Source organism: Homo sapiens, chromosome 14 (genome assembly GCF_000001405.40).
Source record: "Homo sapiens chromosome 14, GRCh38.p14 Primary Assembly".
NCBI lineage: Eukaryota > Metazoa > Chordata > Mammalia > Primates > Hominidae > Homo > Homo sapiens.
This window is the reverse complement of record NC_000014.9, coordinates 80,568,812-80,596,624: the sequence shown is the minus strand read 5'-3', so window position 1 is coordinate 80,596,624 and position 27,813 is coordinate 80,568,812. Positions and strand designations below refer to the sequence as shown.

Genomic DNA, 27,813 nt, shown 5'->3' with positions numbered 1-27,813 from the left:
GTTTCCCAGGCTGGTCTCAACCTTCCGGGCTCAAGTGATCCTCTTGCCTCAGCCTCCCAAAGCTCTGGGATCACAGGCATGAGCCACTGTGCCTAGCTGTTTTCATTTTTATCCAATTCCTGGTATTTTTAAACCTCCCTTGAGAACTTTTCTTTGACTCATGGATTATTTAGAAGGGTTTATTTAGTTTCTATTTATAGGTTTTTTTGTTATATTTATGCTTCTACATATTCTTGATGGTTTTCTGTCAAGTTTTTCTGTCAATTTTTGAGAGAGTGATATTGGGATTTCTAACTCTAATTTTGAATTTGATCTAATATTTGCATGATATATTTTTACTTTCACGATATAATACCTAACCTATATCATTACACTTTAGGTGAGTTTTCTGTAGATAGCATAACATCGGGCCATGTTCTTTAATTCACTCTAACGATCTCCGTCTTTTAATTGGTATATTTAAACCATTTTTATGTAATATAATTACTGATGTGTTAGGATTTAAGTCTGCCTTTTTTTCTGTCTATGTTCTGTATTTTCTCTCCTCTGCCTCTTTTTTTTTTTTTTTTTTCCCTGCTGATATGGTTTGGCTCTGTCCCCACCCAAATCTCACCTTGAATTGTAGCTTCCATAATTTCCATTTGTTCTGGGAGGGACACGGTGAGAGATAATTAAATCATGGGGGCAGGTCTTTCCCATGCTGTTCTGGTGATAGTGAATAAGTCTCATGAGATCCGATGGTTTTATAAGGGGAGTTCCCCTACACAAACTCTCTTGCCTGCTGCCGTGTAAGACGTGACTTTGCTCCTCCTTGCCTTCTGCCATGATTGTGAGGCCTCCCCAGCCATGTGGAACTGTGAGTTCATTAAACCTCTTTCTTTATAAATTACCCAGTCTCAGGTATGTATTTATTAGCAGTGTGAGAACAGACTAATATGCCTTCCTTCCTTTGGGTTATTTGAATAGTCTTTAGAATTACATTTTGATTTATCATGTGTTTTTGAGTAAAACTCTTTGTGTAAGCTTTCAGTAGTTCCTCTGGGTATTATATGCACCTGGCTTATCAGTCTATGTGATACCACCATATCATCAAATTGAAACAGAAACTTTCTCTGTTTATATTTTTTACCCTTCCTGTTTATTAATTTTTTTAATTGTACTTTAAATTCTGGGATACATGTGAAGAACATGCAGGTTTGTTATATAGGTATACAGGTGCCATGGTGGTTTGCTGCACCCATCAACCCATCATCTACATTAGTTATTTCTCCTAATGCTATCCTTCCCCTAGTCCTCCCACCCCCTGACAGGCCCCAGTATGTGATGTTCCCCTCTCTGTGTCCATGTGTTCTCATTGTTCAACTCCAACTTATGAGTGAGAACACACGGTGTTTGGTTTTCCATTCCTGTGTTAGTTTGCTGAGAATGATGGTTTCCCACTTCATCCATGTCCCTGCAAAGACATGAACTCATCCTTTTTATGGCTGCATAGTATTCCATGTGTGTATGTGCCACATTTTCTTTATCTAGTCTATCATTGATGGGCATTTGGGTTGGTTCCAAGTCTTTGCTATTGTGAATAGTGCTGCAATAAACACATGTGTGCATGTGTTTTAACAGTAGAATGATTTATAATCCTTTGAGTTTATACCCAGTAATGGGATTGCTGGGTCAAATGATATTTCTGGTTCTAGATCCTTGAGGAATTGCCACACTGTCTTCCACAATGGTTGAACTAGATTTACACTCCCACCAACAGTGTAAAAGTGTTCCTATTTCTGCACATCCTCTCCAGGATCTGTTGTTTCCTGACTTTTTAATGATTGCCATTCTAACTGGTGTGAGATGGGTATCTCATTGTGGTTTTGATTTGCATTTCTCTAATGACCAGTGATGATGAGCTTTTTTTCATATATTTGTTGGCTGCATAAATGTCTTCCTTTGAGAAGTGTCTGTTCATATCCTTCGCCCACTTTTTGATGGGGTTGTTTGTTTTTTTCTTATAAATTTGTTTAAGTTCCTTGTAGATTCTGGATACTAGCCCTTTGTCAGATGGAGAGATTGCAAAAATGTTCTCCCATTCTGTATGTTGCCTGTTCACTCTGATGATAGTTCCTTTTGCTGTGCAGAAGCTCTTAGTTTAATTAGATCCCATTTATCAATTTTGGCTTTTGTTGCCATTGCTTTTGGTGTTTTAGTCATGAAGTCTTTGCCCATGCCTATGTCCTGAATGGTATTGCCTAGGTTTTCTTCTAGGGTTTTTATGGTTTTAGGTCTTATGTTTAAGTCTTTAATTCATCTGGAGTTAATTTTTGTATAATGTGTAAGGAAGGGGTCCAGTTTCAGTTTTCTGCATATGGCTAGCCAGTTACCCCAACACCATTTATTAAATAGGGAATCCTTTCCCCATTGCCTGTTTTTGTCCTGTTTGTCAAAGGTGAAATGGTTGTAGATGTGTGGAGTTATTTCTGAGGCCTCTGTTCTGTTCCATTTGTCTATATATCTGTGTTGGTACCAGTATCACGTTGTTTTGGTTAATGTAGCCTTGTAGTATAGTTTGAAGTCAGGTAGCGTGATGCCTCCCACTTTGTTCTTTTTGCTTAGGATTGTCTTGGCTATATGAGTTATATTTTGGTTCCATATGAAATTTAAAGTAGTTTTTCTAACTCTGTGAAGAAAGTCAATGGTAGCATGATGGGGATAGCACTGAATCTATAAATTACTTCGGGCAGTATGGCCATTTTCACAATATTAATTCTTCCTATTCATGAGCATGGAATGTTTTTCCATTTGTTTGTGTCCTCTCTTATTTCCTTGAGCAGTGGTTTGTAGTTCTCCTTGAAGAGGTCCTTCACATCCCTTGTAAGTTGTATTCCTAGATATTTTATTCTCTTTGTAGCAATTGTGAATGAGAGTTCTCTCATGATTTGGCTCTCCGTTTGTCTATTATTGGTGTATAGGAATGCTTGTGATTTTTGCATATTGATTTTGTATCCTGAGACTTTGCTGAAGTTGCTTATCAGCTTAAGGAGATTTGGGGCTGAGAAGATGGGGTTTTCTTTTTTTTTTTTTTTTTTTGAGATGGAGTCTTGCTCTGTCACCCAGGCTGGAGTGCAAGTGCAGTGGCATGATCTGGGCTCACTGCAAGCTCCGCCTCCTGGGTTCACACCATTCTCCTGCCTCAGTCACCCGAGTAGCTGGGACTACAGGCGCCTTCCACCATGCCTGGCTAATTTTTTTGTGTTTTCTTTAGTAGAGATGGGGTTTCACCATGTTAGCCAAGATGGTCTCGATCTCCTGACCTTGTGATCTGCCCTCCTCAGTGGCAGGGATTACAGGTGTGAGCCACCTCACCCGGCCGACAACAGGGTTTTTTTTAAATAAACAATCATGTCATCTGCAAACAGAGACAATTTGACTTCCTCTCTTCCTGTTTGAATACCATTTATTTCTGGTATTCTCTTGCCTGATTGCCCTGGCCAGAACTTCCAATACTATGTTGAATAGGAGTGGTGAGAGAGGGCATCCTTGTCTTGTGCCAGTTTTCAAAGGGAATGCTTCCAGTTTTTGCCCATTCAGTATGATATTGTCTGTGGGTTTGTCATAAATAGTTCTTATTATTTTGAGATATGTTCCCTCAATACCTAGTTTATTGAGAGTTTTTAGCATGAAGCACTGTTGAATTTTGTCGAAGTCCTTTTCTGCATCTATTGAGATAATCATGTGGCTTTTGTTGTTGGTTCTATTTACATAATGATTACATTTATTGATTTGTGTATGCTGAACCAGCCTTGCATCCCAGGGTTGAAGCCGACTGGATGATTATGGATAAGCTTATTGATGTGCTGCTGGATTCGGTTTGCCAGTATTTATTTTATTTAGGATTTTTGCAATGTTCTTCAGGGATATTGACCTGAAATTTTCTTTTTTTGTTGTGTCTCCGCCTGGTTTTCGTATCAGGATGGTGCTGGCCTCATAAAATAAGTTACGGAGGATTCCCTCTTTTTCTATTGTTTGGAATAGTTTCAGAAGGAATGGTACCAGCTCCTCTTTGTACCTCTGGTAGAATTCGGCTGTGAATCCGTCTGGTCCTGGGCTTGTTTTGGTTGGTAGGCTATTACTACCTCAATTTGAGAACTTGTTATTGGCCTATTCAGGGATTCAGCTTCTTCCTAGTTTAGTCTTGGGAGGGTGTATGTGTCCAGGAATTTATCCATTTCTTGTAGATTTTCTAGTTTATTTGTGTAGAGGTGTTTATAGTATTCTCTGATGGTAGTTTGCATTTGTGTGGGATCAGTGGTGATATCCCCTTCACCATTTTTTATTGTGTCTATTTGATTCTCCCCTGTTTTCTACCTTATTAATCTGGATAGTGGTCTATTTTGTTAGTATTTTCAAAAAACCAGCTCCTGGATTCATTGATTTTTTTGAAGGGTTTTTCATGTCTCTGTCTCCTTCAGTTCTGCTCTGATCTTAGTTATTTCTTGTCTTCTGCTAGCTTTTGAATTTGTTTGCTCCAGCTTCTCTAGTTCTTTTAATTGTGATCTTAGGGTGTCAATTTTAGATCTTTCCAGCTTTCTCTTGTGGGCATTTAGTGCTATAAATTTCCCTCTAAACACTGCTTATCTGTGTCCCAGAGATTCTGGTATATTGTGTCTTTGTTCTCATTGGTTTCAAACAACTTTTTTATTTCAGCCTTAATTTCATTATTTACCCAGTAGTCATTCAGGAGCAAGTTGTTTAGTTTCCATGTAGTTGTACGGTTTTGAGTGAGTTTCTTAATCCTGAGTTCTAATTTGATTGCACTGTGGTTTGAGACACTGTTTGTTATGATTTCCATTATTTTGCATTTGCTGATGAGTGTTTTACTTCCAATTATGTGGTCAGTTTTAGAAATAGTGTGATGTGGTACTAAGAAGAATGTACATTCTGTTGACTTGGAGTGGAGAGTTCTGTAGATGTCTGTAAGGTCTGCTTGGTCCAGAGCTGAATTCAAGTCCTGAATATCCTTGTTAATTTTCTGTCTCATTGATCTGTCTAGTATTGACAGTGGGGTGTTAAAGTCTCCCACTATTGTTGTGTGGGAGTCTATGTCTCTTTGTAGGTCTCTAAGAATTTGCTTTATGGATCTGGGTGCTCCTATATTGGGTACATATATAATTAGGATAGTTAGCTCTTGTTGCATTGATTCCCTTACCATTATGTAATGCCCTTCTTTGTCTTTTTTGATCTTTGTTGGTTTAAAGTCTATTTTATCAGAGACTAGGATTGCAACCCCTGCTTTTTTTTTTCTTTCCATTTGCTTGGTAAATATTCCTCCATCCCTTTATTTTGAGCCTACGTGTGTCTTTGTACGTGAGATGGGTCTCCTGAATACAGCACACCGATGGGTCTTGACTCTTTATCCAATTTTCCAGTCTGTGTCTTTTAATTGGGACATTTAGCCCATTTACATTTAAGGTTAATATTGTTATGTGTGAATTTGATCCTGTCATTATGATGCTAGCTGTTTATTTTGCCCATTAGTTGATGCAGTTTCTTCCTAGTGTTGATGGTCTTTACTATTTGGTATGTTTTTGCAGTGGCTGGTACTGGTTTTTCCTTTCCGTATTTAGTGCTTCCTTCAGGAGCTCTTGCAAGGCTGGCCCGGTGGTGACAGAATCTCTCAGCATTTGTTTGTCTGTAAAGGATTTTATTTCTCCTTCAGTTATGAAGCTTAGTTTGGCTGGATATGAAATTCTGGGTTGAAAATTCTTTTCTTTAAGAATGTTGAATATTGGCCCCCACTTTCTTCTGGCTTGTAGGGTTTCTGCCAAGAGATCCGCTGTTAGTCTTAAATGTTCCCTCTAAATACTTTTAGGAGCACATAAGATATTGTTACAATTTTTGCTTCAACCATCAAACATAGTCTAGAAAATTCAAAAGATATCTATTGTATGTACCTGTATTTTTGATTGTGTTCTTTCTTTTTTTTCTCCTCTTCTAATATTCTTTCTCTTATGTCCTTTCTTTTTAGAGAATTTCTTTTAGTCATTCTTCAGGATAGGTCTGATGACAATAAATTATCTTAATTTTTCTTCCTAGGAATGTCTTGCCTTCATCTTTATTCCTAAACAGTATTTTCACTAGATATAGGATTCTGGGTTGTCAGTTTTGTTTTTTAGCATTTTTAAAAAATGTGACTTTTTTAATGGCCTGTGTGGTTTCTAATGAGCATTTTATTATTATTCTAATTGTTTCCCCCTGTAAGTAAGATATTGTTTCTGTCTTACTGCTTTCAAGACTTGTTCTTTTCCTTTGGTTTTTAGAACTCTATGAAGCATCTTCATGTGGATTTCCTTATATTTATCTTCTTTCGGGTTCACATAGGTTCTTCAATCCAAGAGTTACGTCTCTTATGAAAATTTGGAAATTTTCAGGTGTGTAAACACATGCTTGCCATTTCAAGATGAATACCCAGTTCTGTGAGGATTCATGTCCTTGTTTCAGTACAACACAGATTTACTCTAAGCCATGCTGCAGGTGATCATTCTTGTGTCTCATTACTGCCTACTCACTGGGTATCTTTCTGGACTTGCTCTTTATATGTGAAGCGGATTCCTGAGTTGGCATTATTTTCCACTGTGTGAAGGAGAATTGTAAAACGCTTGTTACCTGAATTTTCAAATTCAGTCCAGAAAAAAATTTAATAAGGTATAATATTAAACTAATTTATTGGCATCTACATTCTGGTAAATGACATCATATTGCATGTCAGAGAGTTATTAACTAGTTTCTTATAGATGTTGTCATTATTTTAAAAATACTTAGAGAAATAGTATTTGCCAGGCACTGAGGATATAGTGGTAAACAGTTCTTACCCTTGGGGTATTACATACCAAACTGTACCTTGAATGTTAATATCAGCACATGCCTTTTATAGGGATGACTAAACTTTATAGGTTGGTCTACATAATTACACTCCAGCATAGGTGCGAAGTGGGGATAATTTTAGGCAACTCAGTAAGAAATTTTTGAGGAGCTAAACGCAGGTGTGCATGACTCTTTCACTGAGGAAACTAACAATTTTGGAGTCACAGCTTATGACATGTTACATTCAAGTTTTGCCATGAAAGACCTCCTCTTCACTGTTCCTACCTAATCACAGGTTTCTTCACAAGGCTTTCATTGAATGTGGCATACCATATACCATGTATAGTACATTTTGATTACCAGATACCAGAATTGAGGGTAGATGTTATGAACCCTTAAATTTTCTTAGAGTTGAATTTATTACTTAATGAAAGTTCTAAGGTGTGTTAGTTTTCTATTAATGCTATAAAGAATTACCACAAATTTAGTGGCTTAAAATAACATACCTCTGGAGGTCAGGAATGAAAATGGATCTCACTGTGCTAAAATCAAGATGTCAGCTGGGCTGCCTTATTCTCTGAAGGCTCTTGAAGAGTCTGTTTTCTTGCCTTTTCCAGCTTCTAGAGGTTTCCTTCATCCCTTGGCTCATGCTTCCCTTCCTCTATATTCAAAATCAGTAAGGACCACTTGAGTCTTTTTCACAGTGTCTTCTGATTACATTGGACCCACATGGGTAATTAAGGATAATCTTTATATTAAAGATATCTGATTAACTACCTTAATTCCCACTTTCTTTCTTATCCCATTTTCTTCCTCATGGCTACTTCATGAAGTGAGATAACACTCAATGTGTTTTGAAGCTTTGTGGATGAGGAGACTGAGACAAAGAGGATTGAAGCCATTTGCCCACCTGGAGGTTTAGCAAAAATATTTCTAAAATTTAGTGAAAGTCCCATGCTTTTTTTAAAAGCTCACTGAATGAAAACATAATGTTTTTATGTAAAAATCTTAACATTAAGTTTTTAAGGAAAGGATTTGTAAGATGCAAACACTTTGAATAGAGCTGAGCTGTAATAATTCGTCTTTAAAATGGCCTCAAAGTGGGGAGGGGATGGGGCAACAATTAAACACCATATGTCTGAACTTGGACTTCTTTTAGTAGTTTAAGATTTGTTGACCAATCAAGTTTAAAACTGAAGATTTAAATTTCAAAATTTTTCAAAATTTTCAGTTGTATCTCCTTTACTGTCAAAAGTTTTGTATGTATATCATATATACCTTAAAACTATCTCTAATCATTTACTTCCCTGAGAGAATATATCAACATACTAGGCCAAATTTGGTAGGAAATACTGATATTTATGAGGAATAAGTTGAAATAAAATGTCTCTATTTAAGCCCAGGATATATTTACATTGTGATGTACCAGATATAAATACATGGGTACGTACTGTCTGTGTGTGGATTGCCAGAGGAAACAGTTGGTGTTTGACATTGAGCTGTACTCTGTAACTAAGTGCACATCACTGATCTATATCATACCATTATTCCACTTCTGAGGTCTGTTTTACTCTTAGAATGTAAGAATTGCAGAAACTAGAAAAAAAATTCACTAAAAATTTCAAATTTCATTTTGATCTAGAGTAGACCCAGGAATCTACAAGGCCTAAGAAGCGTAGATCTGGTTCAGTAGTAGGTACCTCAAGAAACCAGCACAAACTTTTGTAGCTTCTGTAAAGAAGAGGTGATCAAAGAGTAAGTCAAATACCCAGCACTTCTCTGAGCCCCAAAATGTATACCCAGTTGACCTTATGAGTCTAGAACAAGAACAGAGCATAGGATAAACTTTCTCCCAGCCCAATTAATTTAAATGAAAGCAAACTTCCCATTATGTGAGTGTAATGCAGAGTACATGTGGGGAGAAAAATGATTTTATGCCTGGATTTCAGCATATGAAACTTATTCTTGAAATAATGTTTACAATGGATCATAAACTTCTCTTTCTCATTTTGGCCAAGACAGCCCATAGGCCAATTTAGAACAGTGATGTGTTTCCTACTGAATATGTTCTTACTTTCTCTGCTCATGTTACCAATAGAAATGACAGAAAACTTAATAGTTGACTGAGTCAGAACTTTCATTCTATATCAGGATGTTTCTCAGTGCCAGACTCAAGCATGAGGTGGAATGGGGTAGATTATTATGCTATTTTCTGTACTGTGACAGTTTTGTGGCAAGTGGTTTTAAATCTCTAAGGTTGTCGAAGTGGAAAGTTTCACCAGAAATGAATTAACATCAAAGAAAAACATGAGTACCTGTATTTGGATGTTTTACCACATACCCAAGACAGACAGTGAACTGTAAACCTTTCATTTATTGGACCAATTGGGCTCCATCTGTAGACCAGCATGTTGTTTCAGTGTCTGAGACAAACCACAAGGGATAGCCATACTTTTTGAATGTTGTTCTTCATTTTAACCTGTGTGTTTTCTGTGGTAAGGCCGGATGAGAAAACTCTTAACTCATTGCGGTATATCCAGATATGTACCAGTGGGTGGCAGTAGATATGGCAGAGTTCTAAATAATGTAGCTACTTATAATGGATGATGTCTAAAAGCAGTTTACTAATAGGCCTTTTTTGTTTGTTTGTTTTAAATTACAACTGTTTGTTTTGCACATTTTCCTGATTTTAGCAGAGATATTTAAGGGTGATTTAAAAAAAAAATACTGAGAGCTAATACGTATATAATGCTTCTTATATACCAAGCACTATTTTAAATGTTTTACATATATTAACTGAAAGCCCAACACATTTGATTGTTGTTTAGGTATTTGAGCTAATATAGTCATATTGTTATACCTTTATTCAATTTTTCTTTACTAGTATAATAAAATAGGAAAAATGTTTGCTGGTAAATGTTATATTAAGCTGAGAAACTGTCATTCATTGAAACAGATTTTGTGTTGCTGTTTGATTTTGTGAAATCTTCTGTGTGCTGTATATTGAATATATCTTGCTGAAACAACTGCCTTCTCAAGTGTCTAGGTATTTGCTTTCCATCATAGCCATATTTTTGGACGTCATCTCCCAAAACTGAGGAATTTTAACGTGGACAGTTGGTAACTGTGGGTCTTCCCACAGATTGTCGATGTTACACAAGTGCTTTAATGAAGTTTTCTTTTGTTTCTGTTTGGAGAGGCATTAGAAAATATATAGGCATTGGAATACTGTGTCATTTCAATACAAATCTTGAAAGTCAAAGCAGGGCAGTCACTTTTGTGTAAAGAAAAAAAAAGTACTGGACCCTGGTCCAATTCAAAAGCCCTGGGCTCAGATTGATACACCATTAACTAGCTATGTGACATTGACAGAGGCATTTGATCTCGGAACTCAGTCCTCCACTGTGTAACCCCAGGACACTAGATTAGATCAGTAGCTTTCAGTGAGGATAATTTGGAGCTTTGCAGCTTCACCATGCCACCACAGGGGTCTGCCCAAGGATAGGAAGGAGCTTGGTGGGCTGGCCCCCAGGCCCTCCACTTCTGTTTCCTTAAAAGCAGCTCCTTCTCAGCTTTTTAAATTACCTATTTATAATTTACATTAGAAAGTATATATGATTTCCCTTATAAGACAGAATTGTACTTCTTTAGGAAAAAAAAAAGCAACCCTAGGATTAGATTATTTCTGTGTTCTCTTGTCTCTAAAATGTCAATGATTCCAATAACTGGGTAGCTAAGGAAGAAAAAGAGAAACTGACCCGTTATCTCTGGCATGTAGCTAATGTCTTGAGTATCTGGAATGGAATAATAGAAGGCTAAGTCCATCATTTATAGGCTCATAAGGGTTGTAATGTGCTGCTTTATCTGATGAATTTTGTTATATGAAATTATGAATCAAATATATGAATATATTTAAATATATGAATCTGTTCACAAATAGAAATATCATAAATTTACTTTTTAATAAAATATTGAATTATTTTGAGAATTTGCATTATCTATTGTGTTTGGTAAATGTCGAGACACACAGAGTAACACTGGACAGGAGCACTGAATTATAGTAAGTTACAAGAGCCAGAGCTAAATGCTTTTCTCTAAACTGCAATCAGTAACTCAACATATTCTGCTGCCAATGTTACTCTGTCCAGTGCTGTTGTTATAAATGTTGCTGTGTCAGAAGCCTCTGTTTCTATAACTTTCTCTCCATTATCAGTTGGGCTTAGTTGTAATATGGATGAGGCATTTTATAGGAATGGTTAAAGAAAAATATAGTCATTTCTCAATTTGATCTTCAGTCTCCCTAGGAAGGTTCAAGTTACTAGATGGGTGTAATTGCTCATACACACCTGGACATGACTCACCTTTGAAAAATAAACAAACAATCTATCTGCTTCTTGGCTACCAGAAACCAAAATCAACATTAAAAAGTGTCAAACCTCCTTAAACAGCCAGATCACTGGTTGCAAAGACTGCAGAGGAAGAGATATAAAACTATCTTAGCCAAAAACTTGGTCGTGATATATTAACCCTAAGTGTTCCAGAGAAATGTAAAGCAGAAACAAAACAAAACAGGACAGCTGGATCATCCAATTCTCATCCATGATGTTCTGCTTTTTTATATGGCTTTTTCTCCCTCTAATGACTTTATGTCATAATGAGTGAGTATCAGCTCATTTAAAAAATTGGAACCAATCCAAGGAAAATACACAGGGCTGCTGCCCTTTTTACCAAAGATCTTTCATTAACTAATGTTGATGGAAGCAAATTTCACCACAGCAATTTACATGGTAGTTGAGTTGCTATTTGTATGGAACAGCAAACCAGAGAGTAATAAAAGAAAACACGAACATGTCAGTGGTGAGCAAGGGAGCAGAGCAGCCCTTTAGCTCTTTCCATGCTGATAAGAAGAGTAGAGCAGACCTTCAGCTCTTTCAATGCTGATAAGAAGAGCAGAGCAGCCCTTCAGCTCTTTCCATGCTGATAAGAACAAACAACAAGATTGTTCATTATAATGAAAGATACTAATCACGCTGTTATCACAGTATTAAGTCACTTTAACTATCTAGGGGTCTCACCTATATTCTCTTGTGTTTTGTCTGTTTGCATAGAGTGGTGCTTCTCAGCGATGCCCAGTAGCCATATTTCATCAGCACAGGTTAATAACCGTGTTCATCATTCCAAATGCATGTGCTTGAACAATGCACCTAACGAGTGAGCAGTGGCATACAGCAATGGTGTGGGTGGAGTGAGCAATTTTGGGGATATAAGTTAAATATCAAAGATAGAAAGGCAGTAGTTAAGGAGAACATGGATGTAAAATATGGATGGGCCAGAGGCAGTGGCTCACACCTGTAATCTCAGCACTTTGGGAGGCCGAGGCGGGCGGATCACTTGAGGTCAGGAGTTCAAGACCAGCCCATCTAACATGGTAAAACCCCGTCTCTACTGAAAATGTAAAAAGTAGCCAGGCGTGCTGGCTGGCACCTGTAATCCAGCTACTGAGGAGGCTGAGGCAGGAGAATCGCTTGAACCCAGGAGGTGGAGGTTTCAGTGAGCCGAGATGGCGCCACTGCACTCCAGTCTGGGCATCGGATGAGACGCTGTCAAACAAAAAAAAAAAAAAAAAAAAAATGTCACGGACGCCCTGATTCAGGGAACTTTTAAAGCAGGTCAGAAGAATACAGACAAGTGTGTATTTTATTTTTAAATCAGTATGAAGAAGGGTGCAATTAAGTATTGAGAGGTACAAATGAGAGCATGATTAGACAGAGCAGGATGATAGGAGAGCAAAGCTGTAGAAGTGGCTTTGTACTAACTAGGTGATCTCAGCCAAACCATTTGCATTTCTTTGAGTCTCATGTCTTCATATATTTGTTGTAGGATGAAACATTTTAAGGTGGACTAGAAAGTTCTTCTAGGTTTCTGAATAGAGATAAGAAGGTTCAATACAACTACATCCCTGGAGACTTTTAAAAATGGCAGTAATCCAACAAAAGCTAATTTAAGAAAAAGAATAGAGGAAGAATTATGTATTGGAAGTCCAGGAGGTTTGTGGGCTTCAGTCAAGGGTGGATGTAGTCCTCAAGCAATTCTCTCTTTCTTGGCTCTCATTTCTTCTTTGCCAGCCTCATTGCTTAATAAGTTTCTTCAACATAGTAGAAAATACAGACTTCGAAACACCAGGCTAATATAAGGTGTGGCTTCAGAAGGAGAAAATTTATTTCCTGGCATTCACATTAATCCTCTAAAAGGACACCTCTGGTGTTGCTTAGCTCATATGCTCAGGGGGATAAGATGCTCTGACTTGCTAGCCTGGGCCATGACCTGCTTCTGCAGCAGGAAAGGTTAGTTAGGCCTCTTGACCAAAAGTTTCATGGAAATCATGTGGAAAAGAGGAACAGGAGTTCTCAAAGGGAAGATATGTGGCACAAAGAAAAAAAAAATAAAAACCAAAACAGGTGTCTGCTTATACCCTTTATACAAGATGGTCAGTCAGGGAGAATATTTATTTAAAATTTAAAATTCTAGGAATTCTTCGGTTGTTTTTATTCAGCCATCCCAAGTCAAGCATTGTCATTGGCATCAGATTTGTTGGAAGAGTAGTATGACCCGTATGTATTTGGAGAAAACTGAGAACATAATTTTAAAGTTCCTATAATTTTATGAAGTTCTGTGAGTAGACTGGACTTCTTTCCTTCTATATTTTATCAGATGAGTGAGTTGTGTTTGGCTGCATAAAAGATCTGACACTCATTATTGATCCAGTAAGTTTTATCTAAGGAGTTTGGACTTGCCATACTAAGTTGACTCTGGAGGAACAAGATTAGTTTTCTTTTGTGGTTGATGAACCCCACTATGTATCACTCCAGTTACACTGCACCATTAAACAATCTAATTCATTACAAAGTGCCCAGCTCTGAGAACCTCCTAATATCCAGAAGTAATGGAGCTAAGTAGCCACATCCTCATAGGAACACAGGAGTGATCTTATATCTCACAAATATTGAAGAGAATTGGGGTAAGGACACAGTTAACTGAAACCAGATGGTGTAGAAATCTGTTGTTTTGGCCTGTCTGATGTCCATCCTTCCTTCTCTAACCCTAATTTTGCATTTGGAAACTATTCTTTCTATTCTTAGTCCAATCCTTTTGGGATTAACAATGAAAGTACTCCATACTTTCCCCTAGCCAAGCAGTAGGCAAGAGATCTAAGCTAGGCTCAGTAGCTGTTCTCTTTATGAAGTTTCATCTTGAGTGGAATGACATAAAGTTTAGAGGAGCCCAGAATAAAATGCTTATTAGCTCATGCTACCTATATCTCGTCCCATCCAGACCTGCTCTAGTTGTTATTGCCTTCAGATTTGGGATCCTCTTTTCCAGTGCATCTATTAGTTATCTCTATATCCTTCTAATAATTTCTAAATACATGTTATTCAAATAGCATCTCATTGCTTTCAGTTGGCAAGTCCCGGGTACCAAACCACTCCAAAATTCCATTTATTTAGCTCCTGGTTCTGTGAATTGGAGTTGACACTGGGCTCAGCTGGGTAGTTTGTCTGGTCTTAGTTGGGCTCCCATCTCAGTCATCTGTAGTCATCCTTAGATCAACTGGGCAACTCTGCTTCTGGGCATTTGCTGGCTGGCAGCTGGGGCAACCTGCAGGGTGACAGAAGTGGGAAGAGTCCTAGACCATGTGTCTGTTGTCATCTAGCAGGTTGGCCTGGGCCTATTCAGATGTCAGTGACAGGGTTCCAAGTGAAAAAGTGGAAATGTGTGAGGCCTCTTAAAGCCTCAGTCTGGACTGAAACAGAGTTACTTCAGCTATATTCTATTCACCAAATCAAGTCAGGAGGCCAGCCCAGATGCAAGAAGTGAAGCAGATGTGCATGGCCTCTTGATGGAAGTAGCTACAATGCCACAATGCAAATGAGTGAGGATGCAGGAAGAGGAATGATTGAGGGCACTTAAACAATCTTCCATACACCAAGTTGGTTTCTGTATCTTATAGCTACAGAACCTGATATGCCAATCAAAACCCCTTTAAAAATACACCCCAAAACACTGGCCTGCTCTTTTTACTTTTTTGACGTACCTGATTAAGGGAGGTTTTGGGAGCCAAAGTCAGTTCCTCTATAGCATACAGAATAGAAACAATCTCTTATCCTTAATCCCAGCATGTTGTGTCTTCAGGAGATTGCTTACCACTCATCTGTAACCCTCTTAGCTGTGCGGCCTCAAAGGGTCATCACAATCAGTTCTGTCATCTGCCAGGTCTCCTGAAATTTTGGTGTATTGCCTGCCCAGTTACAACACACCAGCATGACTTTGTCACTCTACTATATGACTGTTTCCTGCTATATCTAATATAGCACTTGGTAAAACATTTGAGTTTGCCTTTCTGGGATACATATTAGACTTCTGTAACTTATATTTTCCTTTTATGTAACATAGTCTCTTGGTAAGCTATATCAATGAGAGAGTAAGGCAAATACTCATATTAATATACACTGCTGTAGGTGTTTTTTGCCAGTTTTCATCCAAGTTCTGACTCAGCCTAGTCCTCTTTAGGTTTGTGAGATATAATAAGATCATAGCACAGGGTGGTATAGCTGCAGGCAGAAAATATGTTTTCTTAATAGCAAGTTCATAAATTAATGTAGGGCACTGAGACACCATGGCTGTATACATGCATTAAGACAGAGCTCTCTTCAGTTGACGACCTTCCCTTCCAACCACTAATTTCTCTGGGATGGTGCCAAACTCTTAGTCAAATGTAGCTTCAATGCATCCCACCCTCTCAGTGTGAAATGATAATTAATAAGACTTTATGGATGAGGTGGTGTTCCACTTCCAGTTAATAACACCTATTATTCCAGGGTGTTTTAATTTGGTTATAAAAATTGACTGTAGGGGTGGAACTTGGCTTGGGAGCTTGTTTTAAGGGCAAATGGTTTGTTTTTAATTTTTCTTTCAAAAGAAAAAGGCTTTTCTTTTTTTCTAAAGGAAATTTTGTGTTGCATTGAGTTATATAAGCATGAGACCAAATTCTTAAAATATTGGTATGATTACAGATTTTTAATTGATTTGATGTCATCCTTTGGTATGTCAGGTAAAGCTGAGAGATGTCCCAGGGCTTCTTGGCTAGCTTAGAGTTGGCAGGCTCCCGCGCTCTGCCATGTCCTCAGTTGGGATCAGAGCGTGTTTCTTTTACATGGCTTCTCACACTTAAACATTAAATTCTCTTCTCAGGCAACAGTTTATACAAGCTACTGGCTGAATTGCATTTGATGATAAGAGGCAACTCGTTTTTACATTGTATTTTGATGGGTATTTTACTTTCTTATTACAGATCTACTGGAAGAGACCCAAAGAAAAGATGAAGAAATGGGATCTCTGCAGGTAAATTCTTAAATAGGGCAAGCATGCTTGGTATGAAAACATTTGTTTTTTACTCTTTTATCCTTTATTATTGTCACATTCACACTGGTATAGCAAATAGGGTGACAAGGACAATGTCAGAACTATAAAGTTGGAATTTGCTTCCTTTAGAAGTCTCTGAGAGCACTGATCTAAAGCAGGAAGCCAAATCAGCCTCTATGCTACTTTTGATAGGAAATTTTATTCCTTGGTATAGCATAATAGGAACTGCAGCATTAGGAAATGAAGGCAGTATCCTTTCATAGTCATTTCCCTCAAAACAGGACTGATGAATGAAGATGAATTCATGGAATCTACATTTTCAAGTGAAAGTCAAAAGTATTCTGACCCCATGGGTGTCATCTACTAATGACCAACCAATTAACACATAAATAGAGCTTAAGGTTGCCTTGTACAGCCTCTCAATTCAGTACAGGTTTATTCACATTTGTTGGGCTGGAAAATGGTGTTAGAAAGATTCCACTCGAATTTTAGTTGATATTTCTGTGATATGAGCAATGGATGTGAAGTTGGCATCTGACAGAAGTTCTCTCTTCTTTTCACATTGGGCTAACTTACAAATGGGTAACTCAAGTGTCTGTCTTTATTAGGGGAAACATAATCAGTTATATTCCCATGATAGAACCAATTCACTTAATGTCAGGTTGGGGACTAAGAACAGTAAATACTTTGGACATTTAGAGTTCTTCATGGGCCTGGAGCTACAAGGCAAGACTGGAGAGTGATGTCATGAGCTGGTTTGAGTGCTTTACGGGTAAAGATGTTTGCTTTTGGCAAATGAAAGATAGGCCACATAAAGTCCAAAGAGCAAGAGAAGTGTTCTGTGATTGGGGATTCTTCTACCTGATGGTATACCCATTAAGAGAAAATTGTATAATTGATCTGAAAATGCAAAGGAAGCATAGTTTATACATCCAGTAAAAGTGGTACATGTTAGCTTCAGTTTTGTACAGATTAGATTATTTTAACATCTTGTACTATATTCAGGTATAAAAAAAAAAAAAGAGCATTGGTTAGTCCAGTCTGGGGCTAGGAAGAATCTCAAGTGTATACTTGACCTGCCTATCTCTGTGAAACTAATATCAGCAATGCTTGTTGTTATAAAAAGCATAGCTCTTTGTACACTAAATGTGTATATTGAGAAAGTCTTTTTTAGGCATTGTGGTTGTGTGTTGTGTTTACCCAGAATAACATATATAAACATACTTATTGAGTATATGTCTGGCCTTTTGAAATGGCAGCACAAGTAGTTTTTTCTTTCACAGTGCAAATGTTGGAACTAGTAATCTCATTAAATTTAATAGCCTGTGTTGCCTCTCAAATGTTTATTAAATACTGGCAGCATTTTCTACTGAAATGTCCATCCAGTGCAATAGAATGCACCAACCAACTAGCTATGGACATTTATAGTTGGAGAATGTGTAATATGATGTCCCAGAGCAGAAGAGTTAAATGTTGACACTTTGTAATGGTAACTAGTGCCTGATATTAACACTCTATTATGAATAAAGAAGGAACTCTCGGAATGCACAAGAGTCCAGAAGCATATCACAGAAAGCCTTTAATGTTAAAGGCTAGAGGAAAATCCTTGGAAAAGTGCCTATATTCCTGAGTTTCTATATTCACATATGATTATCAGAGGTGATAGTTTGAAGAATACTATTCAAGTATATAGGCTGAAATCCTACAATGACACAATAGTACCTGGCTGTGTTTCTGGTTCACTGGGTAACCTTGGATAACTCAATTAACTTTGCTGTGCCTATTTTCTCATCTGTAATAGAAAATCATAAAACTGTCTTCCAGAAGTGTTTAGTGTGGATTAGATGATCCCAGAAGGGAGAGCTAAATATTTAATTCCAATTTACAATGTTAGCACATCCTCATGTATCCAAATTGGAGTCAATTTTATTTACTCATTATCATCTTATAATTATGTATAACAGATATTCTGCATTTTATGTCATTCTCCTTAGGGGTAGGGGGTATTTTATTTAGCTCTAAACCCTTTCCAATTTCCTATAAATGAGGTACTCCATTTACTCATTGAACAAACCCTTATCAAGCACCAATTCTGTGCACACCACTGTACTAGGTGCTAGGGATACAAAGGCAAGCTGTGTGTACTAGATGTCTTCTTACCCTCTATATTATAATTAGTGAAGACTATAAAAATCAGTGTTTATAATAAAATCCTCAAAATTCATATTAAAGGAAAAGTATAAGTGACTGTGGGAACATATAAGAACATCTGTCCTTGTTTGTCATAGGTAAGGGTAGGTTGGCAGAACTGACAGGGAATTAAGTACGATTGAGGTAGGTTAAACTGGAGTGGGGTGGCAATCCAAGTAGGCTTCCCAAAGAAAGCCAATGTTGGAATGATAACTAGGAGTTAGCAGTGGAAAGGATAGGGGAAGGCCTAGGATAAAAGAGCACAGTTTCATGTTTAAGGAACTGAAAGTTCAGTATGTTGGAATGTAGCATCTGAGAGAGGGGCAGCAAAACAAGAATTTTTTAAGTAAACAGAGATCTAAAGGACCTCGTGGAGGAGTTTGGACTTTACCTTCGGTATATGAGAAATTGGAAAAGGGTTTGAAATAAGAGAACAATATGGTAAATCTGCATTTTAAATAGATACCTGGCTGTAACGTGAAAAATAATTAGAGGCAGGCAAGATTGAAATCAGGGAGACCAATTAAGCAGACATTTGTGAGACTCTCGGCAAGAGATGATGGTGACCTGGATTGGGTGGCAGCAGAGAGCATGAAGAGGAGTGGGTGACTTCTTAATATGTTTTAGAATATAAAGTCCATGGAACTTTGAGATTGGTTGTTAGGAAGTAAAAAGGAAGGAGTTAAGAATGATTCTTGTGTTTCTCGATTCGGCAACTTCACAGATAGTTGTGCTCTTCAGTGATATAGGAGGAAGTTGATCAGTTCAATTTTTGGTATTTTGAAATGTCCAGGTGGTAATGTTAAGGGAGGTTCATTTGAGTCTGGAGCTCAGAAGGTGTTTGATCTGAACATGCAGAATTTGATGCCATCATGTCTGTTGTCCATATCATAAGAATGATACTAAAAGTCATATAGCGAATGTGAATTCCCAGGGGAAGTATTTAGAATGAGGAGAAATGAAATCCTAGGCCAGAACCCTAGGAAACACCAACATTTAAACAACAGGCTAAGGATGAAAATCTTGCAAAGGAATCTAAGACATAAAGGAAATAATTTCAGGAACATATAGTGTTATGAAGTTTAGCAAAAGAATATTTCAAGGGAAAGATCATCAACAGAACTGAATAAATATTTGTTAAATTCTTGAATCCATTTAGCTATGGGGTTTAGGTTTCAAAACAAAAATTTACCTTTCAACGAACTGTAATTTCCTGTCATACCTGTCAATCAACTCTCATGTCTTTCACTTTTCCGGATGTCCACTACTTAGCACAGTGCCTCATCTTAGTGGGTACTCAATAATTTTTTGTTTACTGAATAAACAAACAAATGCCACCCTACTGGTCTCTTATTTATATAGCCCCTATTCCTGGGTCTCCTCAAGATCCACCCATTAAAAAACAACACCAATCCCTGTCCTGTCCTAGAGTTCATTTTTTGTTTAAATGTTTTGGGGAGAGACATCCAAATTCTGCCATTCCTGTATAGACACAGACACAGACACAGACACACACACACACACACACACACACACACGCCGGAGTAATTTCACATGAGTGGTAGTAGCAGTGGAGAAGGATAAAACGGCAGGGGGGGTGGAGCCTCAGGGAGGAGAGTGTTTTCAATCTTAAGAGGAATCACAAACAATGGAGACAAACATATTTGACAGTGATTTTTAACAATACAGCTTGTAATTACCAAAATTCTTCATTGGAGCTTAACATTGTCTGCCTTATTTTTGTGTGTGTGTGACATTCATTTGCAGTTGCATTGTGTGCTACTCCTCTTAAAGTATTGTCTTTGACTATAAATGTGTAGTGCAGTATCAGAGTTTTATTTGCATATGAGTTTGAGATACATTGAAACAAGCAAATCCCTTTTTCATTCCTCTCAAGATCAGCTGAAACTTTAAAATAGACACACAAGGTAATCCATTTTTCCTCAATTTAGTTGAATTGCATTCAGTGACTTGACACCTTGCTCGTGATGGCTAATAGCGGTAGGTGTTGCTGCTGTTTAGTGTTTTTATTTTTTTAAATACCAGTCTACCTGGTTCACCTTTCCCCATGTTGCTTTCTGAATCCTAAAATACAGCACACACCGAGAGTTAGTATCATGCTTAGTTATGAAAGCTTCACAGTGTTACCTATGACAGTCACTGAACAGAGTATCTGCAAAACTCATGTGCCCTTACTCATATGATAACTTACTGGTCATCTCTCTTTTCATTTTATTTGAAATGAGTCATGAGATAACTTCCAGTCATCTCTCTTCATTTTATTTGAAATGAGTTAAAACTAGATGATTATGAACATAATTTTTACTATTCATTTTCCTTTCATACTAAGCCATTGGTAGGTTACTTTGCGTCAGCACAATATATAGATATTGTAAATTAAGGATAATAATAATACTGATTTCATAGGACTCTTGAGAGGATTAGCTACCATAAGAAATGTGAAAACTTTGGTGCCTGACAGGTTGCAATAAATATTAATTCCACACAGTGACTGTTTACACCTACTATGTGTCAGACATGATGCTGCATGCTTAGGGATAAAGCAATAAACAAGTCAGAGGTCTCTGCCCCCATCGGGCTTCTCCTTCCCTCTTCCGCCACCTTCTACCCTTGCCCTTTCTCTTACCTTCCCCCCTGCCATGGTCAACTCTGAAATTTAAATTCATATTTTCATCAGATTATGCTGAAGAAAGTAGTATTATGTCTTTGGCCAGCTGCTAAATATAATGAAAAATCGAAAAAAAAGTCATGATGTGGCAATAATTAATTGATTATTGGGCTACATATGAATATCATTCTCATTATTTTAGGAGGAGAAAGGAAGCATTTTAGTTGTAGGACCTGTAATCTAAATGTTGTCATAAGTATTTTTGAACACATTATTTGGTATTATTAGAAATTTTATTAGAAATGAACTGAATCCTTTTCAATCTTGTTAATTTCTAACAGTGGGTTTACAGATTTTGTATATATACATGTATATGAATATTTCATATACTATATAATAGATTTTAATTACAGATTTATATATAATATTGTATTATATAAATCTATAATAAAATATATAAAAATATGTACAATCTTGAATATATATATTTAAGTGACTGATTTTTCTGAGACATTCCAGAAGCTCTGCCTGAAGGATATTAAATATCATTAGTGCCATGCTGTTTTTCAGATGACCCATAATCATTTTTAAGTTGTCTATCAGTTGGCTTTGAAAAATAGTCTGGAATCTCCCAGTTGAAGGGTTCGATTTTCTTTTTAGTACTGTTTTAGGGGTGGAGGGACAGGTGTTAGATTTTGTTTTTGTCACCTCAATAGTGCTTAGGCAAAAACATTTGAAATGAGCAGTAAGGGGAAAATAATCTCTTCCCCAGCCATTATTTATTTCAGCTACTTATGGAGTAGCCTATGGCAACACAGTCTTTCGAGGAAAAAAATAGAATATACCTTCTTGGTTCTTTTGGAACAAGTGTAATAAATATTAATATTAGGGTGTTATAATATAAAGAATGCCAGTGTAGAGTTGTCAGGCACAACTGTTGGAGATAAACCGGGCAGGAAAAGCCACCAAAGAATGCGACTGTCATTAGCAAATAAATTACCCTCCTGGAAGCTGGCAAGATAGTACATGAACCTCTCAATACCCAGTAGATGGCTAATCCTCCTGGTAAGGAAACCGTGTGAGAAACTGGGCTATTGATCGACCAGGTGGATAATTTCTGTGGTTTTGCTGTCAGTCTTTTCTGCCGAACTGTAGCATGCCCATAACCAGTACTTTTAGAGATTGCAGGTAGAAATGCAGGGTGGGGCAGCCACGAGTCCATTTTAGAGTTCCCTCGGAATTGCTTTAGAAGGATGAGGGTGACAGGGAATGCTCTGCTCTCTCACTGGATCTCAGAAAGAACTGAAGCAATTCATTTCCCCAGAAATTCCCATTTTCTTGGGAGATACTAAAGTACATTTTTAGAAATCTCAATTTGAATAAATTGATAAATTAGGATTAACTGTTTAAGGTTTCATTAAACTAGAAAGTAATACAGTCCCTACTCATCCCTAAGATGACTCGTGAGAGTTATAACAGAATTTTTATTATTCTGGAAACCAAAATGTAATGCATACCCACGTATTCTTCTCAAGGTGCATTCCTCAAAGCTTAGGCAAATAACTGCGTATCTCTATGTCTTCTTCTGAAATGTGATTTAAAAATAATTGTTCTAAGCAATGGCATAAACAAAACAAAATACAGTGTTGTGGGGATGGAAGGTTGGGCGACCCTTTGCCACTTTCAGGCAGAGGTAACTTAACAGCTCATTAAAATCTCTATTTTCTCGAAAGGTGAACAGGCTTACCAACCTTAAATTTGGTACAAAGTTACACCAGAAAGAACGCATTAGCAGTCTGCCTTGGGGTCAAACAGGTTCTCAGCCAATTAGGTTTACACCCTTCAATTTACTACATCAAGAGACCTCATGAGAGCAGGGACCCACTCTCAGTAAAAAGGATTCCACTGAAATTGTAGTGCTCATTAAACCTTGTCACTCTGTTTTACCTGAAATTTGCAACTTAATATTAATCCCAAATTTATGACAGTATAAAACTTGAAAATAGAATACCCTACGAAAGAAGTATTCTTGTGTCTGAATATATCGAAGTTGATTGACTAGGTCATTTTCATTTGAGAATAAAAGAAATATAAAAACATGCCTGGTTCTGTTTATCCAATGGGATGAAAAGCGCAAGACTTCAAGACTCAGCAGTCTGCTTGAATCAAGCTTCTAAAAAAGCTTCTAAAAACACACACATCATTTGGAAACATTGTTAAAATGGAAAATCAAAGCATAGTCTTTGAGCTCAAAAGCCCAAATATTTCTCTGTGACAGAAAGTTTATTTAAAAAGTTAGTAGTAAAAAAGGCTGGGCGAGGTGGCTCATGCCTATTATCCCAGCACTTTGAGAGGCCTAGGTGGGTGGATCACCTGAGGTCAGGAGTTTGAGACCAGCCTGACCAACATGGTGAAACCCCGTCTCTACTAAAAAAAAAAAAAAATTAGTCAGGCGTGGTAGCCCACACCTGTAATCCCAGCTACTTGGGAGGCTGAGCCAGGAGAATCGCTTGAACCTGAGAGGCAGAGGTTGCGGTGAGCCGAGATCGCGCCATTGCACTCTAGCCTGGCCAACAGAGCAAGACTCCATCAAAAAACAAAAAACAAAAAACAGTGACCTGGGTGTGTTTTACAGAATAGGTAAATTCCTCCCACCAGGGGGAAGATGATTTGACTCATCTTCATACACTATCCCCTTTACAGTTGACTTTGTGAAAAGCAACGCTTCCAGAAAACATACCTTGGCTCAACTGTCAAGAGTCTGAGCTCTGAGCTCCATGGGCATTGGGGCTTATGTAGATAGCAGTGTATGTTTTCTTGTGTTTTTTTTTGTTGTTTTCAAATCTCAACACATTATGATGTTTCAGTCTTAAGTTTATCTGGGAGTTTTTGCCAGTCTCGAGTCAGTGGGCACCCTGTAATTTGGGGCAATCTCATTTGTGTTACAGAACATAAGTGATCACTTCAAGATCATTCCCCTTAATATTTTACAGTACATTGCTTATACCTCTCACAGCACATCCCTAGACAGACCTCAAACTTTGGGCAAATATCTATGTTAATCCATTTTATCGTCTATCTCTGGATAACAATGAGAATTGTGAAAAGCAATATTCTGGGTAATGACTATAGTGTGCAACAGATTTGGAAATAAATGCTCAGCAATAATACCTTTCTGGTTGAAACACATTTTCATTGACTCATGAAACAAATCTCTGAGATCCTAAGTACTAATAATACATGATTAAAAGAAACTGTAGTTCTCACTTCTAAGGCCATCTCCCCACCCAATCTCTAGCTGATTTTCCAGAATATACAGAAACACTGCAGAGGATTTCCCCAGTCTGGGATCTTAAAAACTCACTTATTTTATGCTTCAGTCTACTAACAAATACTTATTTAGCACTTGCTAACTCCCGTCAGGATTGTGCTAAATCAGCCCAAAGGGTGATGGTCTGTATGTCAAAGGAGAGGGAAAAAGTCACACATGAAACCAAGCAATTCTTTGTGTCATACACTGTGGTAAAACTGCTAAATCTATGTAAATTATTACTCGCAACAATCCTCCAAGGTACGTAACTACTATTGTAATTGTATGGATAATGTCGCTGAGACTCATACTTCCTCAGCCGGTGAGAGAACTAGTACTTGTTTTTGAACTTTCTTGGCTTCTATACTACTATACTTAAGAGCAATGAAAAACAGAATCTCCTCACCTTTCTTTTTTTTTGTTCTGATTTGTTTAGGATCCTGGCCTCTTTTTCTTTCAATTTCTTCCATTTTTTTTCCTTCTTCGTCAATTTCAGTTTTCAACCAAGTTCAAAATAATTCTGGCAAAAAAATTAAAGGCAACATTAGAACGTTTCCATAAATTTTAAATTGTGCAAAAAGTGACAAAACTAAAATGAGCTGCAAAAATGACTAATAAGCATCTCCTCTTATACTTTTTACTTTTATTATAATCAGTTGATTATTTTACTTTTTAAAAATTGATTCTAAAGTGCATTCCTTTTCCAGTGTCTCTGCATTACATGTACTATTCTAGATTTAATTTGTTAGAAGTTTAATGTTTACTTTTAAATGTGTGAAGGCTTATTAGCATGTTAATAAATAACATGTAATGTCTGTAAGTAATATTTCTGTATTTGCCCATAAAGTAAAATAGAAAATAGTACCTACAAGAGATTCCATGCCTTTACTACATTCTGGTTGTAATAGAAATCCCTAGTTCTTATTTCACTGTGAGAAAAGAACCAATACATTGGTCACGACTGAAACAGGGATTGAAGCACAGAGGCCAGATATGATCTCAGTGATGAATCTAACCCCTGCGGTCCAGATCCAAAAAATCTAAGGGACCAGCACAATATAGGTGTCATTTAGCTGCACAATATTACAGCTAATTAAGTTTAGGTCTTTGCTTTCCTCAATCCTTTCTTGTGCTGTTTCCGCAGTGGTATTGACTGCCATGTGCTTCAGCTGTCCTGATGTCAGACCCAGATAAGTAAGGAGTTGCAACTTACTTAGAAAAGACATATGGCAACAATATAATAGCCCCTTTATTATATAGTGAAATAAATATAAAAATGTATACAAATAATTTTTTTATTTGGGCATTAAATTTTATTGATATAGTATGTTTTATTACACTGTTACCTAATGCCTGTTAAAAATGAGGTTCTGGAAGTCTGTTTTGGCATACTTTAAGGAAGAGGCTCCAGGGCAGTTACCCAGTGCATCCCCTAACCTCTACCATGGAAAACCACAAAGTCACCCTGATGCTAATAAAAAAAAGAATTTATTGTCTATTTGCTCATAAAACCTCACTGTATGCATATGATATTTCCATTAGTTCCATTTTGCTGGGCTGTTAAGTAGAAAAAATACACACACACACACTCTCACAATTTTTAATTTGTTTTTGAGGTTAGTATAGACTGTTTTGAGTCAAATGGAGCTGGATTACAGACCAGCCTCCCCGACCCCCTACATTTAATCACAACATGGACTTCAACACACTTAATGTCTTTGAAGTCTATGTTCCTGGCTTTAAATGAGTGAAATTAATGATATCCTCCTACTGGAAGTTTTCATGAACATTAAAAATAAGAACATATGGGCCGGGCACGATGACTCACGCCTGTAATCCCAGCACTTTGGGAGGCCGAGGTGGGCGGATCCCCAGGTCAGGAGCTCAAGACCATCCTGGCCAACATGGTAAAACCTCATCTCTACTAAAACACAAAAAATTAGCCGGGCGTGGTGATGCGCATCTGTAGTCCCAGCTACTCAGGAGGCTGAGGCAGGGGAATCACTTGAACCCAGGAGGCGGAGGTTGCAGTGAGCCAAGATTGTGCCACTGCATTCCAGCCTGGGCAACAGAGCAAGACTTCATCTCAAATAAATAAATAAAAAGAACATATGTTAAAAGTACCCAATGCAGTTTTGGCAATTAAACTTACAATAAATAGTTTTGATTTTTATGGTACTAGTAATATAAAGGGATGTTTTCGTTAATAGCCATAACACATACCAGTGTCCCTTTTGTTCTTAAAATTAAGGAAACCCATTCCTATCCCAGGATCTCTGCATCTGCCTCTCTCGGTAATACTTTTCCTTTAGCTCTTTCAGTGGCTGGCTCATTTCCTTCTTTTAGGTTTCAGCTCAAATGTTACCTCTTCATAGGGATGTAAGCTGACCAACCTGTCTAGAGTATTTTTATGTTATGCAATATTATCCTTGCTTTGATTGGTTTCAACCAAATAAACATGTAAAGACCACTTTCAGTTCATGGGCCTATAAAAACAGGTGCCTGCCTGGACTTTGCTTACCCCTGCTTTAGAATGAACTAGTTTAACTGTTAACTGGCATAGGGAGAGTCTAATAAGAATATTTTTTTGAATTTTTCCTCAAAGAATAAATTTCTGTTGGTAGAATTTGAAATAATTTGGTAAATGGAAAGAAAGTATAATTTTGAGTAATCAGACTTTTCTGAACTCCTACAACCACACTGTATCAGCATTCCATTATCCACAGGTAAGGTTGTGAGTAGCTGTCATTACCGGCGAAAACTGCCCAGGTGAGGCTATTAACAAACTCTCATCCAATTTATTCCTTCATTTCATAGACTTTGGAATTTAAGATCACTTACTTCCAGGGATGATTTTGAAAGCAATACAGTTGAGGATGCTTTGAGCTAAATCACTACTCTTTATTTATAGTCCTGAAAAGTAAAATGTTTTAGATTTAAAGTAATAATGTCCCTGAAATTTGTGACTTTAATTTGGGTAAGGAATTATTTGGGGGACCATTTTAAAAGTACTACATCATATCATTTTCTCTAAATGCAGAAATTTAGAAATTTGTTTGAAATTATTATAGTCAAATTAGTGCTGTTTTTATAGCTATTACTATTTATAACATTTTCAATTACTTTAAGATAATAGAGCTTTCCAACTCTTTTTCATAACTCACATCTCTCTCAAACAGCCGAAGCTACTGTTTAAACTTCCACCTTGGGAAGATGCTAGTCAGACTGCAGTGAGAAATCAGAGTGAAGCTCAGTTTGAAGAAAAAGCAGTTAAGTATTTCATAGGTAGGAATATTTAGGATATTTGGGACTGAACAGTTAATATACATCTGCTTTATTTTAGTGCATATAGGATAAGTCAGCCTTCATGTATGCTTCCCAGAAGTGCAGCTAAAAACTTAGTTGTTGGTTT

At 37.3% G+C, this 27,813-nt stretch overlaps 1 protein-coding gene across 15 annotated transcripts in view; it reads left to right on the top strand.

Moving 5' to 3' along the window:
• CEP128 (centrosomal protein 128) overlaps window positions 1–27,813 on the top strand; it is a 482,534-nt gene that overhangs the window by 362,878 nt on the left and 91,843 nt on the right. For 9 of the 15 annotated variants that reach the window (NR_157142.2, XM_047431023.1, XM_047431021.1 and 6 more), the window contains one exon: window positions 16,202–16,251. Coding sequence is in view for 14 of the 15 variants with exons in the window: in XM_047431023.1 (XP_047286979.1) it covers window positions 16,202–16,251 (50 nt within the window). In the remaining variant the exon portion in view is untranslated. Of the gene's footprint in view, window positions 1–16,201; window positions 16,252–27,580; window positions 27,671–27,813 lie in introns of all 15 variants that reach the window. The other 6 variants (XM_011536493.3, XM_011536491.3, XM_011536492.3 and 3 more) reach the window with 1 other exon arrangement.